The sequence below is a fragment of the Homo sapiens genome, chromosome 15 (assembly GCF_000001405.40).
Source record: "Homo sapiens chromosome 15, GRCh38.p14 Primary Assembly".
Lineage (NCBI taxonomy): Eukaryota > Metazoa > Chordata > Mammalia > Primates > Hominidae > Homo > Homo sapiens.
The window spans coordinates 39,737,382-39,755,610 of NC_000015.10; the positions used below are offsets into that span (position 1 = coordinate 39,737,382).

Sequence of the window (18,229 nt, forward strand, 5' to 3'; positions counted from 1 at the left end):
TTAACTGGGCAGGAACAGGACGGAATTCTTTAGGATTACTGAAGAAGACTACACTGAAATACCACAAAACCAGTTTAGGGACAATAAGAAAAGGAGACAGAAAAACACATTCATATGTCATCAGTAATAAGCACATCACATCACAGGAAGAAGTTACTGTGATAACCAATGTGTAAACACTGCTTAGAATGACATTAAATAATCCTTTGAAAGTCAATAATGAATTGACCAAGAATAAATTTGAAAACCTCAATAAAAATAATTGTATAAAACAGGATTTTTAAAAAAAAATTTTAACTTGTATTTTAAGTTCAGAGGTACATGTGCAGGTTTGTTATACAGGTAAATTTGTGTCATGGGGCTTTGTTGTACAGATTATTTTTTCACCCAGGTATTAAGCCTAGTACTCATTAGTTATTTTTCCTGATCCTCTCCCTCCTCCCAGCCTCTACTCTCCAGCAGGCCCCAGTGTGTGTCGCTCCCCTCTATGAGTCCATGTGTTCTCATCATTTAGTTCCCACTTAAAAGTGAGAACACCCGCGGTATTTTGTTATCTGTTCCTGTGTTAGTAAAACAGGGTTTTTTTAAAATCAAAGAATAATGTCTCAGAATCCGAAAAATTATTGTAAATTTATGATACTGGGCCAATAATATTATTTTTTAAAATCTAAATTAAGAAGTGTAGTGTTCCCTATCAGAGTTTACGTACCTCAGAACTGGAGAGCCCGGAATCTTTCTCATCCAAGTCCTTCAAAAGCTCAACCAGCCTTTTCTTCTCTCTGTCAACCATAACCACTGGGTTTCTTGATTCCTTGGCCAACTACAGAATTTATTAATGGAAAATATCATATACTCAAGGAAATTCACAGTTCAGGAAAAAAAAAATGGAATCTGAGACTTCTACACTACAGATACACAAAGAAAAGTTGCAAGATTAGGCATTTTACATTTTCTAGGTAATTTTATTTTATACCAAAATTTTTATATAGGGCCATTCTCTAATATCCAAAGATATTATCCCTATAAGCAGGCCCTGCTGTTAACCACTCCAACAGACATTTTATTAAAAAATAATATGAGCAGTTTTCAAACCTCTCTACTATAGATAAAAAATATAAATGCAAAAACATACTTGCTGAGACATTTGGAAGAAATCTTCTTGCCACTTTCTTTGGGGTACTTATCCACTAAATGAAAGTGCTTTTAAATTTCAAGACTATCATATGAGGAATTTAAATATTCAGTTACTATTAAAAAGGGGAAAGAGAAATCTACGGTAGACCTGCTATCTGTGTTAGCAAGAACCTGGATAAGGGGGGAACTCTACTCCTCTAGGAAAATTGAACAGAAAATAAACATACAACAGGCCACTGCAAAGACAGAGACAGAACAAGATGGAGGTTTCCTGAAGAAGATCATATGAATGTGGAGCACAAAAATCGAGAGTCCCAGAGGCCAGTCCTGGCAGTGGCAGGCTGCCCCACGAATCCAGTTTGCCTGGAAATGATGTGCCAATTATGGGGAAAGCATCAGGCTTGAAGGGTAAAAAATTACTTAACTCTCTCTTGTCAATACTCCACACTCGCCCATGCAGTTTTCTAGTGACTCTGCTCAAGGGTGTGCAGAGCTTCTGTCCTCCTCACTACATTTCTTGTTGTAAATTAATTAATTCACATTCTGGTCTAACCCAGGAACCCCTGCGCCCTTGTTTAGTTTGAATCTGCCTTAAAGACAGGCTGCAAGGCCTGTAAGACCAAAGATAGGTGCTTGAAGCAGAAGCTAATGAAGGCCAGTGACCAGCTGCTGGGACGTCCAGAGAAGAGGCGGACAACCAGTTGGCTTCTCCAGCCCAGCCCTGCTGCTCTGCCAGGAGCATTTTCCATTCAAAGTTCTAAATGTACTGGCTACAAAATCAGTCTCATTACTTAAAAAAAAACAATTTTACTAATATGCAATTTAAAATCTGAGAAACATTGTCCAAAGCTATTATCTGAATAAATGTTTTGCAAATTGCAGGAAACAGACTATTTCTGGATAGTGAAATAAATGATAGATGCACCTACCATTTTTAAAAAGAGATAGGATAGGATAGGATGTAGTGGGTTGAACATAGAAATAATGAAGTACTGGTTCATAAAAGTTTTCTTTCATTATATCTACTAATTCAATCATTTATACATTTATGATGGTTGAAAAATATTTAAAGACACTGAACAAAACTATTGCCATTTTTTTCAACTCATTTAGCCCCAAATTCTGGCTTCTGAATTTCTAAGTACATACCTCAATGTTTCTCTTAATAAAATCCTGGTTGTGTTTACCCCTGAGCTCAATCTTTTCTGTATTCGAGAAAGGTTTCTTTCCTGATTTGATCAATGACTCATTTCTTTCCACATCACAGGTAAAATCTAATATTAAAAAAGTTCAAAATTTTTTCATAATTAAAAGTGTCAATTATGCTAAAAGTTCACTTTAAGCATATATTAAAATATATAAGAACTAAAACACACACAGAAGAACTAACTTCTACATTCCAGATCCAGAAACCTAATATATAATGGAGATCTAGTCTTAAAAAGATAAATGTGCTACTGTAACTTCAAATGAAGTTCTCATAAAACTTCTTGTGTAATTCATTATCATGTATCAAACTTCTTCCTGTTGATTCCATGAGAATGATGGGAAATATCAATAGAACTTCAAGACAGACATGAGAAGAAGAAATCGCTGATGTTAGGGAGACTTTAAAATATATTTTTTATTTCAGTCTTGACACAAAACAAAAATTTCCCTAAAGGCTAGGTCATCCCTGCTATTCTATTAATTTGCCATTACCCTTTCTGAACAGTGCATTTTGTTTTGCCTGTCTTTTGAGCAAGGTCTGGGAGTTAGCGTCCCATGTCCTAGCTCCCATCTGCACAAACCCCTAGAGCCCATCTCAGTTGGCCAATTTTCCTCAACCTTTTGGAAGAGGCTTGAGTCAATGTCTGAGATATTCAGACACCGAGTGCTCAAAATAAGAATAAGAAAAATACTTGTGGACTCGTATTCCCTTTATAAAATATCTTGTTTTCTATGTGTCGCATTAAAATATTCTAAAACAAGATCATGTGAACCCTTCATTAAAGCTCTGAAAATATGCACGAAGAAGGAATGTCTCCTTATACAACACATGCAGTTCACCCTACAAAACAGGATGCATTTCCACAATCAAGTCCACAAAGGAAAAAAACACCAGTCACAAGCTCAATCCAGACAAAGTTTATATAAAATTTAATTTTGTTTTATAAGGGAGGTTACCTGAACATAAAGGATTAAAGGAGCTAGTCAACTGGTGTGTTTATAGCTAGTTATCAAAGAGTCAATACAGATATAACCATTTAAAATTTTTTTGATGAAAATAGCTGGAAAGAACGAGAGAAAGAGTAAGATCTCTTGATTAAAATTCTTTTCAAACAGAAGTAGCTTTGAGTAAAAAAAAATTTTACTCAAATTTAAGTTATATAAGCTTATAACTTAAGTTATTAAGTTATATAAGCTTATAGCTTATATAGGCAAATAAACCTATGCTTTATACCTGGGGTTTTATTTTTTAACAATCACGTAATTATCTTTTAAATCAACTACCCATAGTTAACGTATGAGTTACTTTTTTGGTGAGTGGCCTAATAGATACAAAATATAACACTTCTTTCCATAATTCAAGTTGTATACAGTCTTTTTAGTTGAAATATGAGGTTTGTTTATTCATTCAGTTGAAGTTTCATATACTCTTAACCAATACAACATTTAAAAAATACAAACTGAATGCAGCCATGTTTACATTTATCACAGAGCTCCTTTAAAACATATTTCTAATAAACAGTAGGGAAAACACATTGGGTTATCTGGCCAGAACTGTCTTCACTGGAAATGTCCTCTTCTCCTCTCCAGTCTGGTATTGACATAGCTGCCATGTTCCTACAGTGACCCCAAACCTTGCTGGGTTGGACAAGTTGGTTGAGCCAGGGGTAGGCCCCTGACCCAGCTGGATCACTCAGGCTCTTCTCTAGGATTGCAGAACTGAGCCAACCTCTGAATGACTAACCACAGCATATGCTCTTGGGAACCAAAGAAAGCTGCCTCCCACCAAAATCATTTTCACAGACTTGTTTTTGCTTAAGCCAGGTTTTCATTACTTGCAGCCAGCTTTTTTTAAAAACTCTTTATTATTATACAAAATTTCAAACATCCAAAGTAGAATGGTATAACAAACTCTCAACAACTAGCTGCAACAATAACCAATCTTGTGTCATCTTGAACTCTACTTGCTTCCACTTACCTTTGGATTAAATTACATGAACTTATTTCATTTATGAATATTTCTGTATACAGCCAGTATTCCCTTGTGAAAATGTGTATAATCACACAAATTTAAATATACCTTTATTGAGTTTCTGCATCTGCATTTCATATTCTTCTGGAGGGATTTGAGTATGAAACACTGAGGAAAAGGTGTCTTCCTCCTCATGAGAAGGACCTGTTGATTTAAAAAATCACTTGTTCAATGCTCACAAAATAAATTAAGTAGTTGTCTACAAAATTGTTTTAAAAAGATAACATTTAATATTCTCTCCAGTGTTCCTCAGTCCCCTCCACACACATAAATTTCTTAAGACAATGTTAATGTCACCTCCAAGTAGAAATGACAATCACCTTTGTATACAGGAGCCAAATGAAACAAACTACAGAAGCTAAGATAGTTAAACAGCATTTCCCTAGAACTTAAGCACAAAAAGGATGTGTAAGAGTGTGCTAAAATAACACATTAACTCTCCAGAGATAATGCATCCAAATCTTGATGTTCATAATACAGAGAATATGCATACTGAGTAACTATAATTATGGTTTTCTCTTTTTATTTTAGGTCCCCAAGGTGGAGACTTCAAATATGCGATCAGTCATTAAGATAAAGGAATGTGAGAGAGAACTTGGGAGACTCTTAGCAGTTAACTTTCTTCTTTTCTGATGTATTTTCTTGGCACCTCCATAAAGAAGATAGATAGGACATTGTGTTTTTCAACTTAACTTTGTTTCAGTGTAGTTTATTTTTATGTTCTCCTATTAGCTAATTCGGACACTGTATATTTGCAAGACGCCGTTAACATAAACGTTTTATTAAAAGTGTGTCTCTGTACCCTAATGTGAGGGAATCTGCCAGGTTGCAGCACAGAAATGGTTTTGCCTCAGAAAATATGGGAAGTCTTGAGGATATTACAGGATCCACCACCTCTCCCAGAAAGCAAACCAAGTTCAGACACCCTCTATGAGCTGATACAGACAAAGGAAGCAGGCAGAAGATACATTCACCCTCAACACACATTCACCTAATTCAAAACACAAAACTTCTGCTACAAACACTAATTCATCAATTCCAATTCCCTAATTTGGAATTCATAATAATGAATTATGAACTGTGGTTAACATTACACTGTTAGTCTTTGTACAATCTTTGATGAGTTAATCAAGCAAATTTGTGGTGTAAGCCTGGGGAGAGAGGGGTAAACTACTTAGAAAACAAAAAGATTTAAAACTGTTTCTGAACTTTCAGTTTTTTGTTGCAACCACTATTATTAGGGGGTCTTCAATATTCATTAAAAGTAGGCTCAGCAAGTCAGCAATTTGGCAACATTTTATTATCAGTTTAAGTTACATTTACATCATAGTCCTGAAGTGGTAATATATTTTTCTATCCCATAATTCCTTTATGATAACAGTTTACTCAATTTTATATTAAAACACCTGTAAAGACACAAAAATATGAAAATTTACAATATGGAAAACCCTCACAGGTGATCAGCGACTATCTGAGACCAGTGTCATGCAGGTGGGTAAGAAGAATTTGAAATTACTCTTGTGACCCTGTGGCTCTTTGCCCATCTTCCCAGTGGTATTCATTGCCTCAGAGAGAGGTGTGTACTACATACAACAAAGGTGCCATCAATCGGCTTTGAGTTTAAAAGACAACAGTTTTAAAAGTTGGGCATTCAATTGCAAGAGCTTAACCCTTGGAGGAAAAAAAAAACATTTTCTGAATTCCACATCTCCCTTTAGAAAATTCTTCCTTCTTTTTCAAAAACAATTAACGTAGAAGAAATTATGGAATTAACCATTTAGTAACCATCATAACTGACTCAGGTAAGTATCACCAATGAACGATAAAACTAGTGGGTGACAGTTTGAGGAATAATAGGATAATAGCCTCAAAGTATCTATCTCCCCACAAGATAATTTATTAATTACCAAAGGAAAAATAGTAACTTTACCATGAAGAAACCTGGTAGACACCATTTTCATTTAAAGTGGCCAGAGTTAACATTGTGAGCATCAGGACAATCACCGTCATGCACTTCCTGATCTGATTCATTGAGAAGGACACTATCACTTCTGTGGGATTCCTGCCAAAAACTCATAACCTGAACCTAACCGAGCAGAAACAAACCAACCCAAACTAGAGGACATGCTACAAAATAATAGGCCTACTATCTTCAAAAATGCCTGTGTCATAAAACACCAAGACTAAAAGGTATGACAATAATGTAATGCATAGCCTGAGATTTTTCTTTTGCTATAAAGGATATTAGAGGGACAATTGGCAAAATCTCAATAAAGCCTATAGATAATTGCAAAATAATCATTTCCTGATTTATATGTATAATCGTGCATGTATGTGTGTATATGTGTGTCCTTGTGTGGAGAGGGAAAGAGAAAAGAGAATGTGGTAAAATGTTAACATTTGGAGACTCTGGATAGAGAGTATTTGAGAATCCTTTGTACTTTTCCTATGACTTTAAATCTGATCAAAATTCAAAGTTAATAAGAAAATTTTAAAAATTCCTCTCTTCACTACAAACATTCATGTGAGAAGGAAAAAAAAATCTCCCTTTAGAGATCATGAGCCAAAACATTGATGATTGAGCAAGTTTTTAATATGAGTCCTGAAAGAGGAAGATTGCAGGATGTGATTTAAATTGCTTCCTGCCACCCATGGAAGAAATTAAAGCCCATCCCAAATAAGGACCTAGAGGACCTGGAAGACCAGCAGAGGGGATGAGTTTAGAGTAGACACAAGTGATACAGGTATTAAGCTGCTCCCCGGCACAGCCCCTGGAGGTGAAATCCTGGAGGTGCATAGAGAACCTGAAGAGGCTGGAGAAACCCACAGCAGAGTGAGCTCTGCCTCACTGTACACCTGGAACTGAGGGGAGACCCCGCACAAAGGAACATGGTGCTCTCCAACCACCCATGACAGCTGCAGACAAGCAAAGGCAGTGTGGCATGCTTACAGGGAGACAGAGGCTGAAGTAGTCTGTCTGTCTGTCTGTCTGTCTCTCTCTCTCTCTCTCTCCCCCTCAGTCACACACACACACACACACACACACACACACACAGTTCCCCACAGCTGGCCAGCCTGTGGCTTGAAGGAGAACAGAAGCTCTCACATGCCCCTGTGAAGAAGACTGGGGTCGTGATGAGGGGGTGGCATAGAGCCTTCCACCAGAGAGGATGTGGCAGGGACCACATACAACATCAGCATCTGCTGGCAGATGACAAAGGCTAAATGGGACCAGCTACAAGTCAGCAGATGCCCCAGCTGGCTTCCCATATCCACAGACCAAGCAGGACAAGATACGCCTCTGAGAGAACAGCAAGGACCAGATTCACGCGCCACCCCGCCCCCCACCCCGCCATCCCCAGGCCATGATGCTACACAAGCGTCCTCCCGAACCCAGACACCATCCTGAGAAAAGGCAGGAAGAAACAGAAAGGGAAAAAGAGCCTCATTTCTGAATACTGAATTATGCCATACAATTTTTAGATGCCCTACACGAGTATAGTAAATCCTCTCTTAATGTCATCTATAGATTCTTGGAAACTGCGACTTTAAGCAAAATGACATATAAGGAAACCAATTTTACCATAGTCTAATTAATATAAATAAGAATTAAGTTTCTGTGGCACATTTCCGGAAACAAAAACATTATTAAACTTCTAAATAAAGACCAAAACACTTGTAATATTAAAACTCACATAAATGTGGGCTATAAGTACATTTCAGAAAAATTAATAAAAATAAGCAAGGTAATTATTTATCAGCTTATTCTAATTCAGAGTCTCAAGTGGCCAGAGTCTATCTGTGCAGCTCAGAGTCCCAGGTGGGAACACACCCTGGACAGGATGCCATGGCAGGGTGCCCTCAGACACACCCACACTCACTCACAGTGGAACCACGTAGATAACCTAACATGCATATCTTTGAGATGGAGAGGAAACTGGAGTGTCTGGAGAAAACACATGCAGACAGGGGGAAGACAAACTCCATACAGACAGTGGCCCTAGCTGGGAATCCATTTTTTTTTCATCAATGTTATAATAAAATGACAGAGCCTGGCGTGGCTCACACCTGTAATCCTGGCACTTGGGAGGCCAAGAGGAATCTCTTGAGCTCAGGAGTTTAAGGCCAGACTGGGCAAGATGGCAAGACCCCATCTCTACAGAAATTTAAACATTAGCCGGGCATGGTGGCATGTACCTGTAATCTCAGTTACTCAGGAGGCTGAGGTGGGAGGATCCCTTGAGCCCAGGAATTCGAGGTGGCAGCGAGCAGTGATCATGCCACTGCACTACAGCCTGGGCAACAAAATGAGATCACATCTCTAAAAAATAAAAATTTAAAAAATTAAAAATAAAAAAACACGATGTTGAATGAAACAATTTCATTCAACGACCTAATGTTCTCTATTTCCAGAATCTGGAAAAAATTGCCACCAACACAAATGATAGAAAGGGAAAGAGAAAAGCAATCAGTGGTCATGTAAGCTTTGCCTACTGAAACAGCGCAGGGGCAGACTTAGATCTAGATGGAAAGCACCCCCTTGACTCAGAGATAAAAGGAAAAAAACAACCAGAAACCAGAGTCCCCATCTCCTTGAGCAACAACACTGTTTCTTGAGGCAGTTCAAATGCTGTTACTCAACCGCTGTCATACTTCTTTCTACATCTCTTCAGAGGCTGCAACTCTTAGAAAACAACTGGACAGAAAGGAAGCAGAAATCAGCAATGAAGATCACAATTTTAAAAGCATGCAGATGGACAATGAGCAGACTCAAGGCAGATGTACCTTTTTGCTCTGTTGGTAAATGGCAGGTGTGGATGGATTTTACCTCATTGGAGGATAAGAAGACACAGAAGGAAAAAAAATGAAAAACAAATGAAACAGCATCCTGGTAATCAATGGGACAGCAGACATTTTGAAAATAACTATAAAAAAATCATAAAATTTCTAAAAACTTGTTGGCATCCTCAATATATCAAAATATATGACATTTGTGAAACTAGAGGAGTAAGTCACAGGAAAGAACTGATGAATATAAAAAGACAAGAGGATGGGATTATAAAAATAAAGGGGGAAGAAGGGGGAACTGAGTGAAATAAGGAGAGATGATAAGAAAACCAACGTGAGAGTGTATCTTTTAACAGGCTAGTTCAAAAGAGTACACTCATTGCCTCACCTAACATGTACATCACTAGACACATTAGTGATTTTCCTGTTAGACCCTAATGGTTTTCCTGTTTGGGCTTCCCTCCTTCCCTCCTTCCCTCCTTCCCTCCTTCCCTCCTTCCATTCTTCCTTTCTTCCTTCCTCTTTCCTCCCTCTCTCCCTTTCTTCCTTTCTTTTAATGCTCATTTTCTTGTCTTCTTTTCCTTTCTCCTTTATAAACCATAATCCTAACTATACAACAATTTGGAAAGTTTGCACTTTAATTTGAAGTCTAAGTTATATAAACATATTTTTTCTATATTAAGAAAGTCAAGAACAAAAAATGGTTTTCTGCCTCTCCTCTAAAGTAATACAAGGAATTTAGAATTGTTTTACTTACCCTCACTTTTCTCCCACTTTTCAGCCTCTGTTAATATAATCTGGACTTTTAGGCCTACCTATGGTTATTCTTATCTTCTAGCATAGAGTAATTCTTGGATTTATAAACATACATTTCTTTCTGTTCACCTCTGTGTTTGGCTGGTTATAATGCTCACAGATCATTCCTTTATATAGCAACTTCTCTAATCCTGGATTGTACATTGTGACTCATCTGCTGGTTGCCTAGAGTATGGTTTCAAGTACATTTATTCCAAAAACAATATGAGCAGTGAATTATCCACTCTACCATATCTAAGAATGTCTTTCTGTTGTCTTCACAAAACAATAACAGAAGCAATATGTAATCCCTAGTTACTATATTTTTCCTTTATTGCAAGAAAGATATCTGAACTCAGCTTCCATTTTTATAGGTAAAATAAGATTATTCTAATTTGGGCCTGGATGCTTGTAAGATTTCTTAGGGCCTTCCCATGGTTCAGAATCTTACCTGTGTATATATGGGTATTGGCCTTTTATCATTAATAGTGCATATATAATATTTTTTAAATCAGAAAAATTTCCTGTGATCATTGTTTCTATAATAGTTATACTAGTTTACTTTCTCAGAAATTTCTATAATTTTTAACTGGAATTCCTATTCCCTATCTCCACACTTATCATTTACTTCATCATTTCCTCATCTATTTATCCCTTCATGTTGTGGAGCATCCTTCACTGCCTTGATTCTCCTGCAGTCTTAATTATGCTCATTACTCCAATAAGTGCATTTTTCCTATTTTTCCTTGTAATCCTTTCTCATCTTAATCAGCTTCTTTTTTAAATCATCCTCTTGTCATTTCATGTTAATATACTCTTTCTTCCAGTTCTTCTTTTTTGGTTTCACAAATAATACGCATTTTCTACTATATTGAAGGATTCCAATCAGTTTTCAGAAACTAATAAAAGCACAATTATACTGAAAGACCTTAACAGAACTCTCTAAGATGAATGCAAATCAAATAGACAAGTAATAAGGACATTTTGCACATTTCAAAGTTTGTTCTCCACAGAGAGAAACAGTCCTTCTTTTCAAGTGTCCACGGAGTACTTATAAAAGTTAATCATATATTAGGTGAATTTTCCCTGGGGGTATTAATCATATTACAGGCAAAACAATTCTCCGTGTGGAGCTTCCTTATGCAATTCCTGACCTTTAGCAAACTTGGCCCCTGGCATAGTGGCATAAATTCCAGTAGTTCCCTCATTCTCCCCTGCAGCACATCCTTATGACAACCAAAAATGCACACATCCAAATGTCTCCTACAATTGAGAACCTCTCTAATAAGCTATAAAGAAAATTTCAACCAATTCAAAATATCAAAAACAGTTCTAAGAGGGAAGTTTACAGCAATAAATGCCTACATTATAAAAGAAGAAAGATCTCAAATAAGTAGCCTGACATTATGCTTCAAGGAACTGCAAAAATAACAAACTAAACCTAGTTAGCAGAAGGAAGAAAATAATAAAGATCAGAACAGAAATAAATCAAATAGAGGATAGAAAAGCCACAGGGAAGGAGAAATCAATAAAGCTAAGAGTTGTTTTTCTGAAAAATCAAAATCAACAAAAGTTAGACTAAGAAAAAAACAGAAGACTCAAATATCTAGAATCAGAAATGAAAACAAAGAAATTACAACAGACACCTAAGAAATAAAAAGTATCAAAAGGGACTATTATGAATAATTATGTGTCAAAAAATTTGATAACCTAGAGGAAATGGATAAATTCCTAGAAAAATATAAACTACCACTATTAAATCAGGAAGAAACAGAAAGCCTGAACAGATCTACAATAAACACAGAGATTGAAGTAGTAATTAAAAACTTCCCCGCAAAGAAAACCCCACGACCAGATGGTTTCATGGCTGAATTCCACCAAACTCTCCAAGAAGAATTAATACCAATACTTCTTAAACTCTTCCAAAAAAAAAAAAACCAGGCTAGAGGGGATACTTTCTAACATATTTTATGAAGCCAGTATCACCTTGATACCTGAGCCACACAAAGACCCAACACAAAAAAGAAAATTACACACCAGGAATCTCTGATGAACATTGATGTAAAAATCCTTAATAAAATATTACACCAAACCAAATTCAACAATATATCAAAAAGACTACACATCATGATCAAGTGGGATTTATCCCTGGCAGGTAAGGGTGGTTTAACTTATGTAAATCAATCAGTGTGATATATAAATAACATTAACAGATTGAAAGACAAAAACCACATGATCATTTCAATTGATGCAGAAAAAGCATTTGACAAAGTTCAACATCCTTTCTTGATAAAAACTCTCAAGAGTTTAGGTATAGAAGAAAATTTCCTGAAGGCCATTTATAAAAAGTTCACAGTTAACATCATAACCAAGGGGGAAAAACGGAAAGCTTTTCCTCTGAGATCTAGTACAAGGTAGGGATGCCCACTCTCATCACTTCTATTCAACACAGTACTGGAAGGACCAGCAAGAGCAATCTGACAAGGAAAAGAAATAATAGGCATCCAAATCAGAAAGGAAGAAGTAAAATTATCTCTACTTGCAGATGACATGATTTTGTATGTAGAAAACCTCACAGATTCCACCAGAAAAAAACTATTAGAAGTAATAAATAAATTCAGAAAAGTTGTAGAGTACAAAATCAACATATGAAAATCTGTGGCATTTCTATACACAAACAACCTAGCCTAAAAAAATCAAGAAAACAATCTCATTTATGATAGCATCAAAAAAATCAAATAAAGTACTCAGGAATAAATTAAACCAAGGAGGTAAAAGACCTGGACACTAAAAACTATAAAACATTGGTGAAAGAGATTCAAGAGGACACAAATAAATGGAAAGATACTCCGTGCTCATGGATCAAAGGATTCAATATTGTGATAATGTCCACACTACCCAAAGCAACCACTATCAAAATCCCAATAATATTTTTCACAGCAATAGAAGTCCTAAACTTCATATGGAACCACAAAAGACCCCAAATGGCCAAAGCAATTCTGAAAAAGAAAAACTAAAGTTGAAGGCATCACACAGAAAGGTGATCAAATTAGTATTACTAATGTAATCAAAACAGTATAATACTGGCATAAAAACAGACACACAGACCAGCAGAACAAAATACAAATCCCAAAAATAAATCCAAACATATACAGTCAACTAAGTTTTAACAAGGGCCCAAGAAGACACAATGGGGAAAAGGTAGTCTCTTCAATAAATGGTGCTGGGAAAACTGGAATTCCACATCCAAAGGAATGAAATTACACTCTTATCTTACCTCATACACAAAAATCAACTCAAAGTGAATAAAAGACCAAAACATAAAATCTGAAACTACAAAACTCCTAGAAGAAATCATAGAGGGAAAGTGCCTTAATATCACCCTGGGCAATTATTTCTTGGGTATCACACCAAAAGTTCAGAATACAAAAGCAAAAATAAATAAATGAGACTACAACAAACTAAGAAGGTTCTGCCTAGCAAAGGAAACAATCAATAAAAGAAAAAAACCTACAGATTGGGAAAAACATTTGCAAATCATATATCTGATAAGGTGTTAATATTCAAAATTTATAAAGAACTCATACAACTCAATAGCAAGAAAACATAGCCTGATTAAAAATGGGCAAAGTAAATAGATATTTTTTCAAAGAAAACATAAAAATGACCAACAATATGAAAAGGTGCTCAACATCACTAATCATCAGGGAAATGTAAATCAACCCTACTGTGAGATAACAACTTGTTAGGAAAGCTATTATCAAAAAGACAGGAGATAACAACTATTGGTGAGGGTGTGGAGAAAAGGGAACCCTTGTATACTGTTTGAGGGAATACAGATTGGTGGAGCCATTATGGAAACCAATATGAAGGTTTCTAAAGAAATTAAAAATAGGAAGAATTACCATATGACTCAGCAATTCCTCTTCTGGGTATAAACGCAAAGAAAATGAAATCACCACCTCATAAAGACATCTGCACTCCCATGTTTATTGCTCCATTATTCATAATAGCCAAGATATGGAAACAAACCAAGTGTCCATTGGCAGATGAATGGATAAAGCAACTGTAATACATAAACACACACACACACACACACACACACACACACACACAGGAATATTACTCAGCCTTAAAAAAGGAGAACCTGCCTTTTGCCACAACATGGGTAGACTTGGAGGACATAATACTATGTGAAATAAGCCAGACACAGAAAGAAAAATACCGCATGATCATGATCTCACTTATATGTGGAATCCAAAAAAAAAAGTCAAATTTACAGAGAAAGGGAATAAAACAATGATTACCTGGGGAGAGAACACTGGGAGGAAATGGGAAAATGTAGGTCAAAGGATAAAAAATAGCAGATATGTAGGACTAACAAGTTTAAAGATCTAATGTACAACTCAAGGACTATAATTGATAATAGTGTATTACATTCAGGATTTTTGCTAAATGAGATTATAGCTGCTCTTCCCATGATGGGGGTTTGGGGAGAGGAAATGGGTAACTATGTGAGGTGACTGATATGTTAATTTGTTTCACTATAGTAACCATTTTACCATATATATTTATAGATATATGTATCTCATATCATGTTGTAATACCTTAAATATACACAATAAAATTTATTTTTAAGAATATCAAAACCATGACCACAATATTATGAGACTCAATATTCATTTTTAAAATATAGGACTTGTACAAAATTCTGGAGAAGAAAAGAAAGTCATCATCATTTTCTAAATAACGATTAGTATATTTAGTTTAATGAGGTTCCCATTGTCAATTTTTGTTTTTGTTGCTATTGTTTTTGAGAATTTAGTCATAAAATCTTTGCCTAGGCCAATAACCAGAAGAGTATTTCCTAGGTTTTCTTCTAGAATTTTTATATATTTAAATCCTTAGTCCATCTTGAGTTGATTTCTGTACATGGTAAGTTAGAGATCCAGTTTTATCTCTCTTCCTATGGTTAGCAAGTTTTCCCAGCACCACTCCTTAAGCAGGGGCTGCAAATAGCAATCTCTTTCCAAAGAGTAGAGTGTGGCAAAGGATGGGGAAATATGGTAACTTACAGTGGAAAAATCTTACAAATATTTCCTCAGCCAGGTGAACAGAGTTAACATTAATAGCAATGTTATGTTAATAATATGATGTAATGTAATGAAAATGACCCTGTAACTCCATGGTTTTCCTCCCAAAAACACATACTCTCAGTCTAATCATGAGAAAAGCATGAGATAAATTCCAACTCTTGGACATTCTACAAAATACCTGACCAGTACTCCTCAAAACTGTCAAGGTCATTAAAAATAAAAAAAGTCTGAGAAAGTGTCATAGCCAAGAGTAGACTGAGGAGGCATGAGGGTTAAATGGAATGTGGCATCCTGGATGGGATTCTGGAACAAAAAACGGACATTAAGTAAAAGTTAAGGAAACCTGAATATATCAATATTGGTTCACTAGTTGAAACAAATGAACCATACAAATGCAAGATATTCATAATAAGGGAAACTGGGGGTGGGTATAGGGGAAATCTCTGTACCATATTCATAATTTTTCTATGAATGTAAAACTGTGCCCAAATAAAAAGTTTAGAAAAAACTTCCAGGTTAAAAAGATTGAGAAAACATTAACAAAATTAGAGATAAAGAGGATGTACAAACAATATGAAAAAGAATTATTATTTAAAAGACTATCTGAGATTGCATGTTAGTAAATTTTTAAATCTTCATGAAGTGGATACTTTAAAATCTTAGTGACATGGATGCATTGCCAAAATTGACTCCAGAATAGCTAGTAACCTGAAATAGAATAGCAAATATGAAGGCAGCTGAGAAAAGAGTCAGAGAAGTGCCTCCAAGAAATTATTTGAACCAGATGGTTTTTCCAGTGAAATCTTTCAAATTTGAAGGGAACAGATAATCCCTGTGTTATATAAACTGTTTCAAATCATAGAAATAAGTGAGCAGCCATCCCCATTCATTTTATGAAGTTCACACAGCCTGACAAAGCAAACACACATACATCGACTCTCCACCCTCAACTTCACCCCCTATACCATAACAAACATTTCACACACCTGTGTGTGCACACACAAACACAACTAACCTTGCTTATAAATATAGATGCAAAAAATCTGAATAAATTCATTCATTTAAATCTGGTACTAAATTAAAAGAATAATCTTCCATAACCAAGAAGGGTTGGCCCAGGAATAAAAGACTCATTTGGTATTTAAATCCATTAATTTTAAAACATTAAATATGTTGGACATGAAATAAAAATTTATGATAATTTAAATATATATTGAAATGCATTCAATAAATTTCAACACTAAGTTCTTACAGCTCTCAGCATAGGAATAATTGTTAAAAAGGACACAAAAATTAACATTATTTCCTGGTTATGTGTTCATAAACTAAAAAAAAGGTAAACAAGTAAAAATAATTAAAATTAATAAGATAATTTAGTTAAATGTACAAATAGAAAACAAATTATAAATGTCTAAAAAGTCACTAACTTTCGTCTATGTCATTAATAACCCTTTATAAATATGATGGGCTAAACACCAATCAGGGTAATAACAATAAAAAGATATATAAGACCTATGCATAGCTAACAGATGTATGAAACCTGAAGAAATTCTTTGACATATAAATGATAATATAAGAGACACAAACCATGTTCCTGTTGATGCAGTAACGTCTAGTAATCACAGGATTACTAATAATAACTCAATTTGTTGAGCACTTACTAAGTGCTCTAGAAGTCAGCTACCATGTTGTGAGGACATACACGCATCCTATGGAGGGGTTTGCGTAGTAAGAAATTAAGGTCTCCAACCCAAAGGCAGCAAGAAACTGAGGTCTGCAAACAACCATGTGAGTGAGCTTGGAAGCCGATTCTCCAACTCCAATAAAGCTTTCAAATGACTGTAGCCCCGGCAACCATTTGACAGGAGGGATCTTGAGTCGGAACCACCCAGCTAAGATACTCCCAGATTCCTGGCCCACAGAAACTGTGAGATTATAAATGTTTGTTGGCTTAGGTTGCCATGTTTTAGGGGTAATTTGTTACACAGCACTAGATAACCAGTACAATGATCTTGCAGGAAAATAATGACACCATGGAGGCGAGACTGAAAACTGTTTGAATAATCTGATAGAGAAATGCTGAGACCAAACCATTTAATAATGGGGATAAAAAAAAAACAGGTCAGATACAGATAGGGCAGAACAAATACTCATTTGGGGAACTCAAGGAAGAAGTGTAAAAGAACAATAACAGAGGAACTGAGGCTGGCTCTTCAATTTCTAGTTTAGGAGACTAGGTGGGTGATGAAACCATTAACTAAAGCAGAGAAAACATATAAAAGAAGGAATAAGTTTCAACAATAGGAGGAAGAAGGAAAGAAAAAGAAGAAAACCAGCAGGGAATAACAAATCCAGTAAAAATTGCACTATGCTATGAGAGGTCACTGTGTCAGATTCTACAGTGATGTCAAGTACAATCAAAACTGGAGGTATGCCATTAGATTTCAAATTTAGGAGGACCACTTATGAAGCAGCTTCCACAGCGTGACAGTAGAAAATACAGACACTGAAAAGTTAAGAAGTAAATGGAAGTTGACCAGGTAGCACCAAGAGATGTGGACTATTCTTTCAAGAAGTCTGACCTTTAAGGAGAAGAGGGAAACTGAGTGGTGTCTGTTTTAGAGTAAGATTAAAAAAAAAAATGAGGAAAAAGGCTTATTTGTATGTTCTGTTGGTTATTCATTGGTTCAATGGCTTTTTGATTCTGTTTTAGGACTAGAAGAGTTAAACATGGTAAGTTAAAGGGAAAGAGCCAGAGAGATTGAAGCTCTAGATGAAAAAATGGAATGACGAACAAACCAACAGCCAGGAACACAGTGAAAGGGATGGGATGTTACTGATTTTGGCCTCAGAGAATAAGAGTACCTTCCCTCCATCTAAAGTTAGAGGCAAGAGGCAGAGGATGAATGAACACAGTCAGGATGAAGCTTAGAAACAGAAGAAATGAATGTAAAAGGAATTCCTACCCTGTAGATTCATTTTCTCTGGAAAGGAAGACCAACCAAGACAGTGAAGGTCTTGCAGAAGATGGGAGATGAAGCACATAGTAATAGTTTGGAATCACCATTTTGGAGAATGCAAGAGATTGCTAAACAATGCTGAGACTCCAACAGAAATTAAAAACCAAAATCCTTGCCTGTGTCAGTCAGCACAGTTATGTGATTTCCTCCCTCTA

General features: G+C 35.8%; 1 protein-coding gene across 8 annotated transcripts in view; it reads right to left on the reverse strand.

Annotated features, from left to right (window-relative positions):
* FSIP1 (fibrous sheath interacting protein 1) overlaps positions 1-18,229 on the reverse strand; it is a 185,402-nt gene that overhangs the window by 139,942 nt on the left and 27,231 nt on the right. For 7 of the 8 annotated variants that reach the window (XM_011521305.4, NM_001324338.2, NM_152597.5 and 4 more), the window contains 3 exons: positions 4,424-4,519; positions 2,284-2,408; positions 710-820 (listed from right to left, as the gene is read on the reverse strand). In XM_011521305.4, coding sequence (XP_011519607.1) covers positions 710-820; positions 2,284-2,408; positions 4,424-4,519 — 332 coding nt within the window. Of the gene's footprint in view, positions 1-709; positions 821-2,283; positions 2,409-4,423; positions 4,520-9,920; positions 10,054-18,229 lie in introns of those variants that run through there. The other variant, XM_017021972.3, reaches the window with a different exon arrangement.